General features: G+C 36.4%; 2 protein-coding genes across 74 annotated transcripts in view, besides 1 other annotated feature; one reads left to right on the top strand and one right to left on the bottom strand.

Annotated features, from left to right (window-relative positions):
• Positions 1-280: 280 nt before the first annotated feature.
• On the top strand, positions 281-3,327 carry GPR151 (G protein-coupled receptor 151). Its single transcript, NM_194251.3, has one exon. The coding sequence runs from the start codon at positions 358-360 to the stop codon at positions 1,615-1,617; it is 1,260 nt and encodes a 419-aa protein (NP_919227.2). The 5' UTR covers positions 281-357; the 3' UTR covers positions 1,618-3,327.
• Positions 3,328-4,509: 1,182 nt separating this feature from the next.
• TCERG1 (transcription elongation regulator 1) overlaps positions 4,510-17,465 on the bottom strand; it is a 64,632-nt gene continuing 51,676 nt past the window's right edge. For 37 of the 73 annotated variants that reach the window (NR_174407.1, NR_174406.1, NR_174414.1 and 34 more), the window contains 6 exons: positions 12,932-13,096; positions 12,465-12,647; positions 9,264-9,443; positions 8,515-8,598; positions 7,226-7,326; positions 4,510-6,030 (listed from right to left, as the gene is read on the bottom strand). Coding sequence is in view for 20 of the 73 variants with exons in the window: in NM_001400092.1 (NP_001387021.1) it covers positions 5,829-6,030; positions 7,226-7,326; positions 8,515-8,598; positions 9,264-9,443; positions 12,465-12,647; positions 12,932-13,096 (915 nt within the window). In the remaining 53 variants the exon portion in view is untranslated. Of the gene's footprint in view, positions 6,031-6,310; positions 6,405-7,225; positions 7,327-8,514; positions 8,599-8,692; positions 8,839-9,263; positions 9,444-10,849; positions 10,967-12,464; positions 12,648-12,931; positions 13,097-16,195; positions 16,323-16,499; positions 16,646-16,947; positions 17,109-17,465 lie in introns of those variants that run through there. The other 36 variants (NR_174417.1, NR_174448.1, NR_174423.1 and 33 more) reach the window with 13 other exon arrangements.
• Positions 5,639-5,839: a silencer, noted in NCBI's record as "peak5524 fragment used in MPRA reporter construct". NCBI's record gives its function as "represses an SCP1 promoter by STARR-seq MPRAs in K562 erythroleukemia cells {active_cell/tissue: K562}" and the evidence as "EXISTENCE:reporter gene assay evidence [ECO:0000049][PMID:32103011]".

Here is a 17,465-nt window from a genome sequence, read left to right as displayed (position 1 = left end):
TAGTGACCCCCCAAGGAACACATGCCACTTACATGTATGTTCTCTTCATTCATCATTTATGGGTATATTTGTATTACTCCACAGGGCTGACGATTTGGTATTAGACTTGCTAATGAGCAGCAGCCATGTGCTCCTGCTATCTGACAGTCGGTACAGTCACAAGTATATTGTATGCAGCAGAGAAGAGCTTAACAGCCAGCCTCCTTCCACATTCTGCTCTCAGGAAATAAGCAAGGGGAGGATCCAGAAGTGTCATTTGACACTGACGACAGAGTACTTATTTCCTATGCAAAAGAGCCCAGGCAGAAAGACAAACCTAAATAAGAATCTAACTTCTGTAAGAAGCTGTGAAGAGTGATGCTGGCAGCTGCCTTTGCAGACTCTAACTCCAGCAGCATGAATGTGTCCTTTGCTCACCTCCACTTTGCCGGAGGGTACCTGCCCTCTGATTCCCAGGACTGGAGAACCATCATCCCGGCTCTCTTGGTGGCTGTCTGCCTGGTGGGCTTCGTGGGAAACCTGTGTGTGATTGGCATCCTCCTTCACAATGCTTGGAAAGGAAAGCCATCCATGATCCACTCCCTGATTCTGAATCTCAGCCTGGCTGATCTCTCCCTCCTGCTGTTTTCTGCACCTATCCGAGCTACGGCGTACTCCAAAAGTGTTTGGGATCTAGGCTGGTTTGTCTGCAAGTCCTCTGACTGGTTTATCCACACATGCATGGCAGCCAAGAGCCTGACAATCGTTGTGGTGGCCAAAGTATGCTTCATGTATGCAAGTGACCCAGCCAAGCAAGTGAGTATCCACAACTACACCATCTGGTCAGTGCTGGTGGCCATCTGGACTGTGGCTAGCCTGTTACCCCTGCCGGAATGGTTCTTTAGCACCATCAGGCATCATGAAGGTGTGGAAATGTGCCTCGTGGATGTACCAGCTGTGGCTGAAGAGTTTATGTCGATGTTTGGTAAGCTCTACCCACTCCTGGCATTTGGCCTTCCATTATTTTTTGCCAGCTTTTATTTCTGGAGAGCTTATGACCAATGTAAAAAACGAGGAACTAAGACTCAAAATCTTAGAAACCAGATACGCTCAAAGCAAGTCACAGTGATGCTGCTGAGCATTGCCATCATCTCTGCTCTCTTGTGGCTCCCCGAATGGGTAGCTTGGCTGTGGGTATGGCATCTGAAGGCTGCAGGCCCGGCCCCACCACAAGGTTTCATAGCCCTGTCTCAAGTCTTGATGTTTTCCATCTCTTCAGCAAATCCTCTCATTTTTCTTGTGATGTCGGAAGAGTTCAGGGAAGGCTTGAAAGGTGTATGGAAATGGATGATAACCAAAAAACCTCCAACTGTCTCAGAGTCTCAGGAAACACCAGCTGGCAACTCAGAGGGTCTTCCTGACAAGGTTCCATCTCCAGAATCCCCAGCATCCATACCAGAAAAAGAGAAACCCAGCTCTCCCTCCTCTGGCAAAGGGAAAACTGAGAAGGCAGAGATTCCCATCCTTCCTGACGTAGAGCAGTTTTGGCATGAGAGGGACACAGTCCCTTCTGTACAGGACAATGACCCTATCCCCTGGGAACATGAAGATCAAGAGACAGGGGAAGGTGTTAAATAGATTTAAGTTTCAAAGCAAAACAAACTGTGATTATTGTATTTACTTGTACTGCTGCTTATCAATATTGCTGACTTTACAAACTGATATAATTATTACCATTAGGAATTATAAAAATATTTCACAATCTACACTTTCCAAATGTGCAATGTGGTAAGTAGAGAACCATGTTAGAAGTAATAATTGTTTCAGAATTAGAACTTGGCTTCCCAAACAATTTAAGTGTTGTGTAAAGATGTTGCTGTCAAAGTGATTAGACAGCCTGGCTATTCTGTCATTTGTTCACAGTGGTTTTACTGGGTACCCCCTAGGACCAGCCCTGTAGTGGACCGGCTGGAGCCTGCAGTAGAGGTTCTGTCAAAGCTGAGCCCCTTTACCTTCAGTTTCACCCAGGACCTGCTAGTCCTAATTTTACCTACTAAATTGTATTTCACATAACCAAAGCTCAAAATCTACTTTCACTTGAGATTTTTAACACATTAATGATAAATTTTAATGCGTTCTTCATTTACTTAATAAGTGTTAATTTACTTGATGAAAAGTCCGTATCATAATGTTCATGACTGAAGGTCAAAGAAAAAGAAACAGCACCTTATTCCAATTCTGGACTCATTTCAAGCCATGGCTGGTTCTGGCCAAGTTTAAATAAATTCAAACTTAAACTAAAGCCTGCTTCAGTGAACTTTTTAAAGCTACCTGAATGAGTCTTCAGTTTCTAAGTCTAAGAATTGTAGCAGCTTTCCAATGACATTCAGTAGTCTGATATGGGGGAAAAAATACTTAAAAAAATGTCCTCTCTTCACTTCCAAAATGTGGGAAAGTTATTTTTCTATAAGCAGAAATGTGTTCCTCCTAATATCTCCTTTCTCCCAAGATAAACCATGGTTAATGATATAGGTATAGATTACTCCTCAAATACAAATAGAAGATGGAGATGGTGATCTTTCTTGTTAATGGTACTAAACTTACCCTTACTCAGAACATTGAACTTGAACCCTACTCAACTTTTAAAATACTATAGGCTAAGTTATAAAAATAATCTAGCAACCTGAGAAAGAGATTAATATCAAAAAGAGAAAATTCAACAAACCAAGACAGAATTTGGTTAAGAATACAAAATAAAAAGCATAAGGGCAATGCAGAAAGCAGTAAAACTGTGTACCCAGACATACGGTAAAATCTGAGTAACAGGCAATAACCATTCATTTTATAGCAAGGTAAAACATACCCAATAAAACATGATTATGATATATTTCTGCCCCTTTTAAGTATAATGACATTCACCCATGATTCTTGATTACTTTGTTATGGAACTCGGGTATTTTCACTGAAAGTTTCCCTCAGAATAGAAATGCCTTTAGGGCAAACCAAGCCATGGAGAATCTGAAATATAAAGGATATGTTATGGAAAAAAAAAGATTTTGCTTTTTGTCTATGGGTTTCCGGATTCTTTGCTTTTTCATAAGTGGTCATAGTTTGCTTTTTAACACAGGAGGTAGGGCTGTATTCTTTTTACATCCTTCATTACAAATTTTATTTGAAGCTCATGTATTCAAATAAAGTAAAATTTAACCCAAGAATCCAAAATATTGTCTTGTGATATGGTAGTTATAAAAAGGATTATCATTGTCTGTGATTATTTGAATAAATAATTTTTATGTTCATTATATGTAGTAAATTTAGGATGTAAGCTTCCAGGGTTTGACACTTTAAACTTGTAAAGAAATAAAAATAATTACGCTTTACTTCCGATAGTTTTTGGAGATTTAAAGCTGTCTTTGTCTTGAATTATCATTCCAAAATCATTATTAGGAACAATGGAGCTTTATGGGGCTGTTTGACCTTAACACTGGAACAGGTCTCAAGGTGAACTGATTTTCAGAGTTTGCTAACAAGCACCAAATCAAGATGCAGACACTGGAACAAAGAGTAATTACAATGAACCTTTCATTAAGAACCTGATACACAAAGTTAAGTCCCGACTTGATCCCTTAAAAAATCTGCTTAGAGAAGTTTGATTTGTATCTTATCTGATCAAACCCAGATACTTTAAGACAAAAGTAGGAAATTAGAACAGATATCACCAAACTGTTTTCTTCTCACTTCTCTACTGTGAGAAACAACGTAGTAAGTGGGCAAACAATATTATGTGGAATTCAGAATAACAAAATAAGGCATTCTGGAAACTTTACCCTTGTGAGACAGTCGTATTTCTACATACTACATAATAGTTGTGCTCCTTTTGGCAAGCACTTCAATTTCATTCCTCACAGTACTTAAAAATCACTCAATGAACTTATAAAATGAACTTCAAAGAAAGAAAAAAAAGGAAACAGAAGGCGGCCAGGTGTGGCGGTTGACGCCTGTAATCCTAGCACTTTGGGTGGCCGAGGTGGGAGAATGGCTTGAGGCTAGGAGTTTGAGGCCAGCCTGGGCAACAGAGTGAAACCATTTCCAAAAAAATTTTAAAAAGAAAAAAAAAAAAGCCAGACATGGTAATGCATGCCTGCAGTCTCAGCTACTCAGAAGGATCACTGAAACCAGGAGTTCAAAGTTACAGTGAGCTATGATGGCACCACTGCACCCCAGCCTAGGAGACAGAGTAAGATCCTTTGTACGCATAAAAAGAAAAAACATATCCTGTTTATCAACTTTACAGCTGAAGACCTTAGTCTGATCAATGCCAGGTTCCTACATAAAGAGTTCACAAAATTTCCATGGCACTTAATAGATTTAAGCTATGAACTATATAACATGGATGTGAATGTGTGTGTCTGTGACTGTATGCACACAACATACAAATACAGATCTGTTGGTATTCCTTCTTTCTAGGATTTGTTACAATCATAGTCGGTATGAGATAATGGAAAATAAATTATTCTATTAACATATATATTTTGTTAAACATTTTATTTATGTGGCACTCTGAAACGAGCAACCTATGAAGGCATAAAATAAAAAGATTTTTTTTTAACTCGGGAGGTAAAGCTAGATATATCAATTAGGAACTGATTCATGGTGTGATGTACACGACATGTTGAAAGAATGCCAAAAAGGCGCAAACCATCATACATTAATACAAAGGACAAAAACAAAAAAAACCCCAGCATCTTCTTGCTATGAGGCAATAAGGCACTGCTAAGAGACTTGAGCACCAAAATGATTCTCTACAAATTCCTTCCTTTTTATACTGCAAATACTGCATTATTATATTCAAACCTTTAAAAACTAGGTAATACTTAAGATTTAGAGTCAACTTACTTTGTGGGAAATTCTATTTGCTGCTTTTAAAAACAGGTTAAAATAAGCTCTTAAAAATTAAGTAACAATAATCATATACAATACAGATATATAAAAAGGGTTGGTTTATTGTAGTTCAAATACATAAACTGAACATTCAAACATCTTAAAATTAAACTTTAGCAACAAAGTTTAACATTCAAACAGGAGTATAGTTTACAAGAAACACCCAGAAAGGTAATTTGTTGTCTAATCCAGAATATTGATAAAGATCACTTAATGGTGAATAAAATATGTTTAACCAGTGGTTCTATTCTGGCCAACATGTTAGTTATGACCGTGGTTCCATACCTGAGAAGAAATTACTACATAAATCTTCTCTTAGGCTAAACAACAAGACTCGGTCTATAATTCAGAGGGGATAATCAAAGCACGTAAGTGAACAAATAAAACTAATCTGATCTTTAGAGACAAAGGTAAAAGTATTGTCCATTATAATAATTGTAGCCTCTGGAAGATAAGAATTCAATTTTCAGTGTTTTCTCTTTTACCCGCTTTAAAAAAAAAAAATCAAAACAAAACAAACCCCAACTCGGGTTTTCTTGGAGTCTGTGGTATTTGCATCTGGCAAGTTCAAGCCACAAATGCTCTTACTTCTTGCATGTATTAACACTGCTAGGAAGAACGTCACCAAGTCACTGACTTCCACACCTCATAAAAGGATGAATTTTAGCTTCAAGATTTTAAGATTTACTAGAGACAGCCTATATTTGAGTATGTATGTCAGTCATGCCACACAAAGAAAAGCATAAATATTTCCAAAGTGTTCTGTTCAGAAACTGTTCACAAATGCTTCTCCTTCTGTTTGTCAGATGGTTTCGCAATAGGTTGACTAATGCACATATATGTAAAAACCTGAAAATTGGCTCATGCAAGCATTTTGAATAGATGCCCCTATGGAAGAGTATTTAGAATTATTTTGTTGATCGTCTCGTGGGCTCCGATGCTGTGGGAGGTGGGGGTGGACCCCGGCGATCCAGGTCATCAACATATGCCACAATCAGTTTACGCCTCTCCTCTGGCACACAGTCCAGTACTAGATACCGTTTGTCATTCTGTAAAATTTTTTCTACATCTTTCAGGTGCTGATCTGATTCTTGGATTAATTTTTTGGATCTGAAATAAGAAAAAGAAGTCCAAGAATTACTGACTGCTGTTCACAGGTCTTTCAGAAATGAGCTGGAAATGTCCATCTAGTTCCTAATTGTGTTTCCATTTTTTTTTTTTTTTTTTTTTTTAAGAAAAATTTCACGGCAGTGGTCACCTTTGTAAGTCGCCTCAGCAAAGACTCCAAGGAGTGAAAGGGCCTCAGAAGCTGAATTACCCTCCCACCCCTAGTGGTGGTCCCTCCAGATCAGGGCTGAGGGTGGGTGGGTAAATCTTGCCCGTGCTGTACCTGTTCTGTGGATGAACAGAGGACTTCAGTCTGCGGGGCTGCCAATCCCAGCATCTTTCACAAGCTTTCACTTTCACATCTTTCACTAAATTAACTATAAAAATGTAGAAAGAAGTCTTACTTCACATCTAATTTAAAAGCCCAAGCTGATGCAAAACATTAAGGATCCTGACCAAAAAATCCAAATGACAAAATATCTAAAAACCACACCCTCAGCACTATCTAGCCTCCCGTGCACATACCCTTTATTAAGATGTTTCAAATTTCTCTCTTAAAGAAGAAAAGCTGGAGCATGAAACAAAAATGGTTTCCTGCATACTGACTGGTAAGCAATGCGAAATTGTTTTCCTGATGATAAATTGTTAGGGGTGAAGAACTGTTGGGTTTGCTACAGAGAAATCTTGTTTAAAGGCTCTGATTTCATAATTTACAATTTTTATTTAAATGTACCCAGCAAAATGCTTTCCTCTGAGGGAAAAAAAAATGTTTATGCTGAGCTTAAATAGATGATTTCATGCTTTAGAATGATCTAACCACACTGAATAGTCTTCAGAGGAGGCAAAGATAACTGATAGTGAAAGATTATTTTAAAAGTCTCTTCATGAAATACAATTCTTATATAGTTGAGGGTATTCCTAAAAAAAGCGGTGAAGTAAAAAAAAAAAAAAGGTATGTATTCAAAACTGGATGGGTGGGTAACACAAAATAAGAATTGACATCTGGGCCCTTTCTTTAAAAAAAAAAAAAAGTATGGTAGATATGGGCTGTATTTGACTTTGGACAGAAGTTGGTATCTTCTTATCCCTAAAAATTAATAATGTCAACATGTGTGTGAATGCAAAGAATGCTCTGACCATTAGAGTAAAGACTAGTAAAGAGAATGACTGCCAATATGAAACATTTCATTGCACACACCTATATGTTATAAATTTGGTCTCTTTCAAAAGCGTCCTGAAGTCAGCTTTGGCTGTGATATATTTGTCTCTGATATATTCTTCAAATTCTCTTTGTTTTTTCTGTTAATAAAAAAAAAAAAGTTGAGATTATGGAAATAAAACCCACTAATTCCAAAATAAACATCAATTATTTATTAAACAGTAATGTGTAAGTCACATAATAAAATTTAAAATTCAAAAGAAAAAGGCAACAGGGTACATTTTGTTCATATATAAAATTCATTAAATCACAATTTGCAAGGCTCATTTTTGCGGCAAATAGAAAGAATGAGGAATCATAAATTAGTAGTGGCTAAAACTTGAGAACTTGCTATGTGCTACACTGCTGAGCATTTTATGAGGATCATCTACTTCAATCTTCACAACAACCTCATGAGGTGGACACTTAAAAATAAGGATATTAAGGATTAAGTGTTCACTTCCTGCACACTGTATTTTTAACTTCAAGAACAAAAAGAGTAATTTGTGGATACAGCAACTGTAGGTTAACACTCAATACTTAACTTACACAGTAATGAGCATTTAGCTTTCTGGCAAGCCAAAAGTAATAAGATGAATAAACTCTTTGGACTTAAAAAAGACTTTATTATCAATTCTAAACAGTCAGAAAAGTTAGAAACTGAGACTGGGTCTACCCCTCTTTCCCAGTCATGCATATTTTATGGTCCAAACATCTACAATCCAATAGACTTTGAGGGGGAAGAATATTAGATTTATGAGTTTTTATAAAAGATGCCCAGACCTACAGAAACCAACCAGGAAAGGGGAATGATGTAAAAGAAAACAAATAAAAGGCCTAGGGATAAAATGGACTGTAGTAAACAACACTTTTCTTGACATCATTCACTGTTTCAGACCTTGAAGCATATGAGAACTAGCGATCTCATTACAGGGCTCTGTTTGGCTTAAGAGTCAAGTGCTTTGATAGTTTGGTACCAATTGCCAGCCTAAATATGTCTGTCTAGTGGTACCTGACTAAAATAAAACTGCAGCTTCATTAAATTTCTAAGATCCTAAAATACAAGCTTCACCCCAAGTACTAAAATTTTAAACTTTCTATTGTGCTGTCTTGCTAATTTATCATGCAAGAAACAATACATAAACTTAAAATTCAGATTTACTTCTCATACACTTAAAAGTAATTCACTTAAAACAATCAACTTCATTTTGGTTAAGATAGTAGTGCTGTTAGGCCCCGATTTAAGTATTTATAGACTGACAGTAAATCTCGACACAAAATCCTCTTACCCTGTCACTGGAGGAGAACTTAATACATCGAGGATCTTCCTTAATGATTTTTTTTACTTCTTTCCACGTGGATGTTAAGGTAATCTTTGAAAAGACATGAATAAAAAACATAAATACAACTCACTTTTACTTAGGGAGTCAAACTGCAGCACATAGGTACATAATATTACACACTGACCTGCGATCTCTTGTAATGCCCAAGCGTAACTGGACTAGTTAGGGACAGGGAAGCAGCGTTAATGCAATTTCTTTTTGTTGGCTTGCCACAAGAGTTATTTTCATGGCCATACTTTCAAGGTGGCCTAAGACAATCACCTGCAAACCCTGTATTTACATGGGCAAACATCATAACTTCTGAAGAAACCATCACCAAAAAGAGAGCAAATAAAAAGGAACAAAACCTGGATAACAAAGCGTACAAACTGCCGAACAAGAGGCCATAGTACCAAATTGAAAATGGATCAAAAGAAGAAATTTGCTAAATCTATTATTAGGAGGGATCACTGACCACATGGCTAAGGACATTTTGAATTACTATGGGAGCAGTTATGAATGTGAAAACTGCAAAGAATAGGCATTTCTAAATAAATAAGAATACCATAATTTTTTAAAATCAGAGAATTGTCATAAGATGCATTCCAGTAATGAATCTAAAGACCATGACACTAAAAATCATATCAATGCTTTGCTTTAAGAAATTACTAACAAGATTCATCCAGATTAAAATGAGAAAAATAAGAGATTCTTACTGCAGAAGTTTCATCCAGAAGTTGCCTAAAGTGCTCTCTCTTTTTTTTGGTAAGTGCTTCAATGTGTTCATTAAAAAGCTTCTCTTTCTCCTCTCTTTCCAATAAGGATCCAGATTCCCAGCGGTGATCTTTTCGGAGGGTCCTACGAGTATCAGACCATGACACATCTGAAGAACGTACCTGAAGAGAAAAAATTATATATATATCACCAAAGAGACTTATCTGAATGTCCATTTGCACTTCCATGTCCACTGCAGCATTATTCACAATAGCCAAGATATGGAATCAACCTAAGTGTCTATCAACAGATACATGGATAAAGAAAATGTAATAAATATACACAATGGAGTACCACTCAGCCTTAAAAAAAGAGGAAAATTCTATTCATTTATGGCATGGATAAACCTAGAGGACAACATAAGTGAAATAAGTCAAGCACAGAAACACAAATACTGCATAGTCTCACATTTGTGGAATCCAAAAAAGTTGAACTCATAGAAATAGAGAGTAGATGGTCACCAAAGTCTAGGGGGTAGGAGACAGGACAAGGGAGAGAATGAGGAGTTACTTGTCAAAGATAATGAAGTTTCAGAGACAGCAGAAATAAGTTTTGAGACCTACTGCACACCAGGGTTAACTAAAGCCAATAATGTATTCTACATTCAAAATAACTGAGAGTAAATTCCAAGTGTCTCACCACAAAAAATTATAAGCAAACAAAGTGATGAATATGTTAAACAGCTTTGGTTTAATCATTCCATATTATCTACCTATATCAAAACAGCAACTGTACCCCGTAAGTATATACAATTATGACTTCTCAAAACAATTTTTAAGAAGAAGACAGTATAATAGAAGGCATAACAGGTCTGGCTGGCTCACCAACCAGCAAAAAGATATGCTTCATTGGTGATAATGGCATTAAAAGTTAAGCCACACTACTGCCAATGTGAAGAAACACAGACTAAAATAACAGAAAGGTAAGAAAACAAAAATACAAAAACATTTATTTAACCAACACTTACCAAGCATCTAAATACAAGTCAGATATATACCGTGCTTTGCAATAAGATTACAAAATAAGACGTTATCCCTTCCTTCAAAGAGCTCACTTAGAAGGAAAAAAAAGGATAAAAAGGCCGGGTGCGGTGGCTCATGCCTGTAATCCCAGCCCTTTGGGAGGTGGGTGGATCACCTGAGGTCAGGAGTTCGAGACCAGCCTGGCCAACATGGCGAAACCCCATTTCTACTAAAAATACAAAAATGAGCTGTGTGTGGTGGCGCATGCCTGTAGTCCCAGCTACTCAGGAGACTGAGGCAGGAGAATCACTTGAACCCAGGAGGCAAAGGTTGCAGTGAGCCAAGATCATGCCACTGCACTCCAGCTGGGTGACAGAGTGAGACTCCATCTCAAAAAAATAAAAAATAAAAAAACAAAAAGGATAAACATGTAAGCAAATAACTGCAAATACAGGTAATAAGTGCTGCAGTCATATGCTGAGCACAAGGGTGGTCTAAGGAACAGTGAGATCGAATCTGCCTAGATAGGTCAGGAGTAGCCTCACAGAAGAGATACTTGAGCGTACCCCTGAAGAACGAGAAAGTCTGTCACTGCAACAGGAACACTTCCAAATCATATCAGGTAGAGGGACTGCCGTGAGCAATGGAAGGATGGTATGGTTCATTAAGCATGTTCAGCAAGGCTACAGTTCAAGGAACAATGAAGAAAGCAAAGGTGTTAAGGAAATATGAAGGTGGGAGGTAAGAAATGAACAATCTTTTATATTATGCTAAGGAGGCTAAATGTGACCTGTAGGAAACTGCTGGGAGTAAAGAGAACCTTCATCCCCTGCAAGTAACCAGGGGAGTGACAAAATTTGATTAGCTTTTTATGAAGACTTCTGTGACTGCAACAGAACGGATAAATTTGAGGGAATGTTAGAGGTAGGGAGAGAAATTAGGAAACTACTGTAATTGTCCAGGGTGTAGGACAAGGTTTTCCAACCCGTGGCCCACAGGCCACATGCAACTCAGGATGGCTCTGAATGTACCCCAACACAAATTCATAAACTTTCTTAAAACATTATGAGATGTTTTTGTCCTTTTTTTTTTTTTTTTTTAGCTCATTGGCTATCATTAGTGTTAATGTACATTTTTCTTTTTGAGACAGAGTCTCACTCTGTCGCCAGGCTGGAGTGCAGTGGCGCGATCTCGGCTCACGGCAGCCTCCGCCTCCCAGGTACAAGTGATGCTCCTGCCTCAGCCTCCCAAGTAGCTGGGACTACAGGCACGCACCACCACACCCGGCTAATTTTGTATTTTTATTAGAGACGGGGTTTCGCCATGTTGGCCAGCCTAGTCTTGAACTCCTGACCCCAAGTGATCTGCCCGCCTTGGCCTCCCAAAGTGCTGGGATTACAGGCATGAGCCACCGTGCCCAGCCATGTTAGTGAACTTTATGTGTGGCCCAAGACAATTCTCCTTCCAATGTGGCCCAGGGAAGCCAAAAGATTGGATACTCCTGGGTAGAGTAAGAAACAGATGCAAGGGAAGAAATCAGAAGTGACAAGAGTAGCAAGCTCCACTGAAAAAGAGAAAAGAAATAGCATAGGAGAGATATGACAAAGAGAAGCCACCCCCAACTCCAAAATATATTAGCAAGTAGGACGGTAGTCTAGGGTCATTCACTGTAGGGACAAAAAACCCTACATACCTCAACAACTCTGAGGGGTAAGGGAGAAAGATTTTCAACAAAGTTTCAGGGTATCTCCTGCAGTCAGTTACACCTCCAGTCCTACAATCTCATACCATCTGCAAGTATAACTGATCATCACAATGATGGCCCTAAATCATCAACGAAAAGGTTAAATTGTGTTCAGCACGTTTTGTTTATCACTATGGCAGGTAAGTGTGTAATAGTTTACAATGACTTTCATCAAGAACAATAAATAATAAAGTTGTGAGACTAAATGATTATGACTTTCCATATATGCAAAATGCCTAACTTCTGAATTTGTTGAATAACTTGGGTTTTTTCCTATACTAACAGTACTAATACCAAGTATTCAATTTTTAAATGCTTTCTAATTTAGCAAATTATCTCCCTCAGAATTAAAGAACATTAAAATATTCATAACAGTAACATAATAAATTTCCAATATCCAGTACTTTAGAGAAAAAAAGTAAAAGATTAACGTATACCATGTCAGACAGAAGAGCTTTGAAATTCTGGATAGCTTCTTCTCGTTTGTGCTGCTCTCTCTCTCGATCTATTTCTTTTGTTTGTTCTGAACGGGCCTTTTGAACCTCCCTTTCTCGTTCTCGAAGGCTTGCCTCAATGCGGGCTTGCCTTTCAAGCTCCTTTTCTTTTTCTGAGTCTAAATTCTGTAAAAGCAAAAACTACATTATCCTTCTTACCAACTCCATCAAAATATGTTTTTACAGAATAACTAGCTTGCCAAATAAAAAATTCCAAATCTAGTTTTTGCCCAGAATATACCTAAACACTGTGTACCTCTCATCTCCAAATCAACTAGACTCTTATGTTAAGAATACTAACAAGAAAAAATCCAAACCCCCAATAGAAAAATCCCCAACAACAACATATACCCTTAAACACAAGAATTGTATTATTCAATGAAAGCAATACAAGTAAACACAACAGTTACCTTGGCTATTTTTTCAATGTACTGTTTGAAAAGGTCTTCTCTCATTGATGAACTATCTACTGCTTTGTAACGTGGATCACTTTCTACTTTGTCTTTTACTTTGCTCCATCGAGACTGACTGTCCAAGTGATGATTAGATAATAGTTCAAAGAAATCCGATTTAATCTGTATTTTAAAACAGGTAGTGGGATGGGAGGGAAAATAATGTACCATGAGAAATTCATCATATCTTAAATATTTACAACTAGAAAAAAAGTTCACCTACCTTAAATATGAGAATAATAACTTTTAAAATATAGGCATTTAGAGTAGAATTACAGTAAAAGATCAGAAGTGTTCTTTTACTAGAAATGTAAACATCGACAAGCATATAGGCTTTCATCTAAAATTTGCCAAATTCAAGATAAATAATATTTTATAAAGAAATTATTAAAATATAGAAAAAGGCTTTTTCAGATTGTTGATAACTTTAGATCTCAGAACTGCCATGTATTCATAGGGAATATAAATTTACATCGAGCTGCATTTCTTTTTAGCTAAGAGTCAGGCTTATGAAGCTGACAATTCTTTAATATCAACAAGGTAAAAATGATTTATTTAAAAACTAGATGGATAAAAATTTTGGCCATTGAAATTAATAGGACATTTAAAAATCACTGCAAGTCATTACAAACTTATACTGTCAAATGTCTGAAATCAAAATAGGGTAAAAATTTATATTTTGGTGAAAAAAAGGCAGCTGTACACCTTGATATGTGAGAAAGTTACAGAATTTCTATGTTCATAATTAATCATTACTAAAAAATTGCATTCAGATCTTCTACACTTTTTAGCATTAAACATGTATGTAATGTTTATAACATTATAAACTCAGAATGTTAAGTGTTTATCCAGTATTATACTCAACAACTGAAATACCAAGTTAAAAACATTATACCAAAGGTATTAAACATTAATCCTTCAGTATCAACATATACAACTACTTAAAACCCCTCTCCAAAACTGTATTTCTTATTTATTTAAATAGGTGAGGAAAGGAGTAAATGAGATAGTTATTTTTATGTATGTCTGAGGGCCTAATTGTTTTAAAATTTAATCCCATGTATACTACTTTGTACTCCTACCATAGAAGATACCCAAGGTAACCAAGGTCATTTCAACAAAGGATTCTGACCATATTAAGAACCCCTCCCTTCCAGTAGGAATTGAAAATGGTACCTTCCCACCTGATCATGGGAATCAGGATTTAAAATGTGTATGCACAAAAATATATGAATCATTCCTTCTGCCTAGTCTAACACTATCATTTCCCCTTACAACTTCATTTCTCCTACTGGAGGATTAAAAGTGAGATGGTGGCTCATGCCTGTAATCCCAGCAGTTTGGGAGGCTGAGGTGGGTGGATCACCTGAGGTCACGAGTTCGAGACCAGCCTGACCAACATGGTGAAACCCCGTTTCTACTAAAAATACAAAAAGTTAGCTGGGTGTGGTGGCAGGTGCCTGTAAACCCAGCTACTTGGGAGGCTGAAGCAGGAGAATTGCCTGAACCCAGGAGGCAGAGGTGGCAGTGAGCTGAGACTGCACCATTGCACTCCAGCCTGGGCAACAAGCAAAACTCCATCTCAAAAAAAAAAAAAAAAAAAAAAAAAAGTGAAGTTGATGTTCTTTCTGGAAAATACTTTTAAGGTTATAAGAAACAGAATATCTGCATCAGAAATGTTTCTAAAGACAACAGCTAATTGGCTGTGGATTTCTCCACTACTAAACTTGGCCTTTCACTTTGAACTAATAAGAAATACTCATAAACCCAGTATTTCCAGACACTGATTAAGAAACCACCTGATGTAGTGATGTAACTTAAATTTTTCTGTTCATCTTGTCTACTTTGTATCTGACATGATGAACACCAAATTCCTAGATGCATTTGACAACTGGAAGGCAAAATTTACAAAATTTATGTTAAATAAAACATGCAAGTTATATCAAATAGGAATCTTTCTAAGCCACAGGAATTTGTATTAGCTTAAAACAATTTTCATATATTAGACACGAAACCTATAAAGTAAGGATTATCATATAGGTTTTTAAATGTGTGATGTATAAACAAGTGAACTTTAAATAAAATTAAACTTTAACTTCCTTTCATTGTGGATATTACCATGACAGGTTATAAATGGCTTACTAAGGCTATCAGTATGAGAACAATTGCCTGACAGCTGCATAAATGTCAAAAAAATGTCATTTACCATTAGCTGCAATTCAAGGCCTTATTATTCTCCCCATTCCTTACTATAACAAAAATAATTTATGCACAGGAAATTTAAAAGAGAGGGAAGAGAAAAATATGTCAATTTTGTAACAGTGTATTAACTCCAATTACATACAACCTCAAATGTGCTATTTCAAAAGGTAAAGTATTTGAACCACAATTTTATAAAAATTGGTTATAATAATATATTACAATAAAATAGCTTAAGAATAGTTACTTTGGCAAACAAAATAAGTAGACTTTTTTTTCTTTTTTTTTTTTTTTGAAAGAATCCCATCTGTTGTCCAGGCTGGAGTGCAGTGGAACCATCAAAACTCACTGCAACCTTGACTGTTTGGGCTCAAGCGATCCTCCCATTTCAGATTCCAGAGTAACTGGAACTACAGAAGCACATCACTACAACCAGCTATTTTTTTGTTTTGTTGTAGAGATGGGGGTCTTGCTATATTGCCTAGGCTGGTCTCGAGCAATCCTCGTGCCTCAGCCTCCCAAAGTGCTGGGATTACAGGCATGAGCCACCACTCCTGGTCAATAAGTAGACTTTTACAGGCACTTTTTAATAAAATGGAAAACTAGTGGTAAAAACTACATGAAAATGATGCTCTTACTGTGAGAATGACTTTACCGTCAAAATGCTACTTAAGAAAAACAAGAATTTCACCAGAAGTCAATGTTCTTCACAGGTTTTCAAAATTAGTTTTAAAATTAGTTTTAAACCTTTAGTGTTCAGCTATTGATTCAACTATCACAATGCTACAAAGACCAGCTGGAGAATTACAAGAACAAGGAAATAAACTCTCGTACCATGCTACTGGTACTGCTCTTGCTATCTAATTACTCAGTTACAATGTGATTTTTTTTTTTTAAGTATACACAATATACTTAAGAACAGTATACACAATACAGTGGAAGTCATGAAAGAAAAATGATAAAGCCCCTTAACCAAATGTGCTCAAAATGTGAATATAAAATCCACTATATTTAAACCCTTACTTTAAAGATTTCTGCTTTGATGGCCTAGTCACTCACTGATTTTGCATTCTTTAAATTGGCTGAGAAAGCTTCACTTTAGCAATTTCCTGCCTTTTTTTTTTAATCTAGTAATGGTATAAAGCCAACCCTGTAATTTAAAGAATTAAGATTTTTATAGCCAAAATAAAATAAAGCTGAATATATTAAATATTAGATTTATTTAATTTAGATGTCATATCTATTTAATTTCTTTTTTAAAATTAACACATTCTGGGCACAATTCTCATCACTTCATAAGGAAAAAGACTAAAAAAATGTAAAGTACCGGAACTCGGGAGGCTAAAGTCACCACACAGAGATACCAATTCTTTCCTCACTAGGGAATCCCATAACACTTTGCGTGTCAGTGATTGACAGCTGTCACTGAACTGATTGACAGGCCGCACAGCACAAAACTGTAAAGTCTATCCACTTGTTATAAAACAGAATACATAAAATAGTTATAAAAAAAGTGTTTAGAAAAAGAAAATCAGTTACAAATGCAAATATAAATACATTTAATTTCTATAAAAGCAATCATACAAAATCAAACAATCACTTATTTACTTGGTTTTCTTAAATAGGTTATTCTAAAATCAAAAGTAGCAAATAATTCATTAACATGATTCTAATTCAACATATAAAATTATGTAGTAGAATTTGATTTTACACATTTCCTCTGAGAAGCATAATCATTTTTTAAGTAAACAGTGAAACAATTCTGGAAAACTCACTTGGAAGCCCAATAAATCGGATAATTAGGAGGTTTCAGGTATTTCTGATAAAAGCTGTTTTAGCTAATACTGTTACTATTTTGAATGAAAGAGACTTCTTCCCAGGAGTAGCATTACTTTCAAACAACATTTCTTAATAGAACTTGTAATATTATAACTTTCTGGAATAAGAGGCAATTTTAAATGTCAAGAATGATTAGGCTCCAGAGGTTATTTTTCTACATTCACAAAGCATACCAGGACACTAAGGAGAGTGGCTGCATGTTTTGATGGTTCACACACCACTGGGGTCATCTCCCTACTAGTTTTCCTCCCCAGTGGTAAGCTCCTCTCCACTCCTGACACTGCTATCAAATGACATTTGGAATTCATTAATCTTTAATAGCTGACCTTTAATTCTGATAAGCAATAATTTATATGTAAGATATGTTTACTGAAAGAATAGAAAGTCACTAAAATGCTATCTTTTAGAGGGCAAAAAAGATAAAGAAGCTTTTTGAAATTCAAATATTACAACC

Source organism: Homo sapiens, chromosome 5, assembly GCF_000001405.40.
Source record: "Homo sapiens chromosome 5, GRCh38.p14 Primary Assembly".
In the NCBI taxonomy this organism is placed as follows: domain Eukaryota; kingdom Metazoa; phylum Chordata; class Mammalia; order Primates; family Hominidae; genus Homo; species Homo sapiens.
Note: the sequence above shows the minus strand (reverse complement) of the source record. Positions and strands in the feature narration are given on the sequence as shown.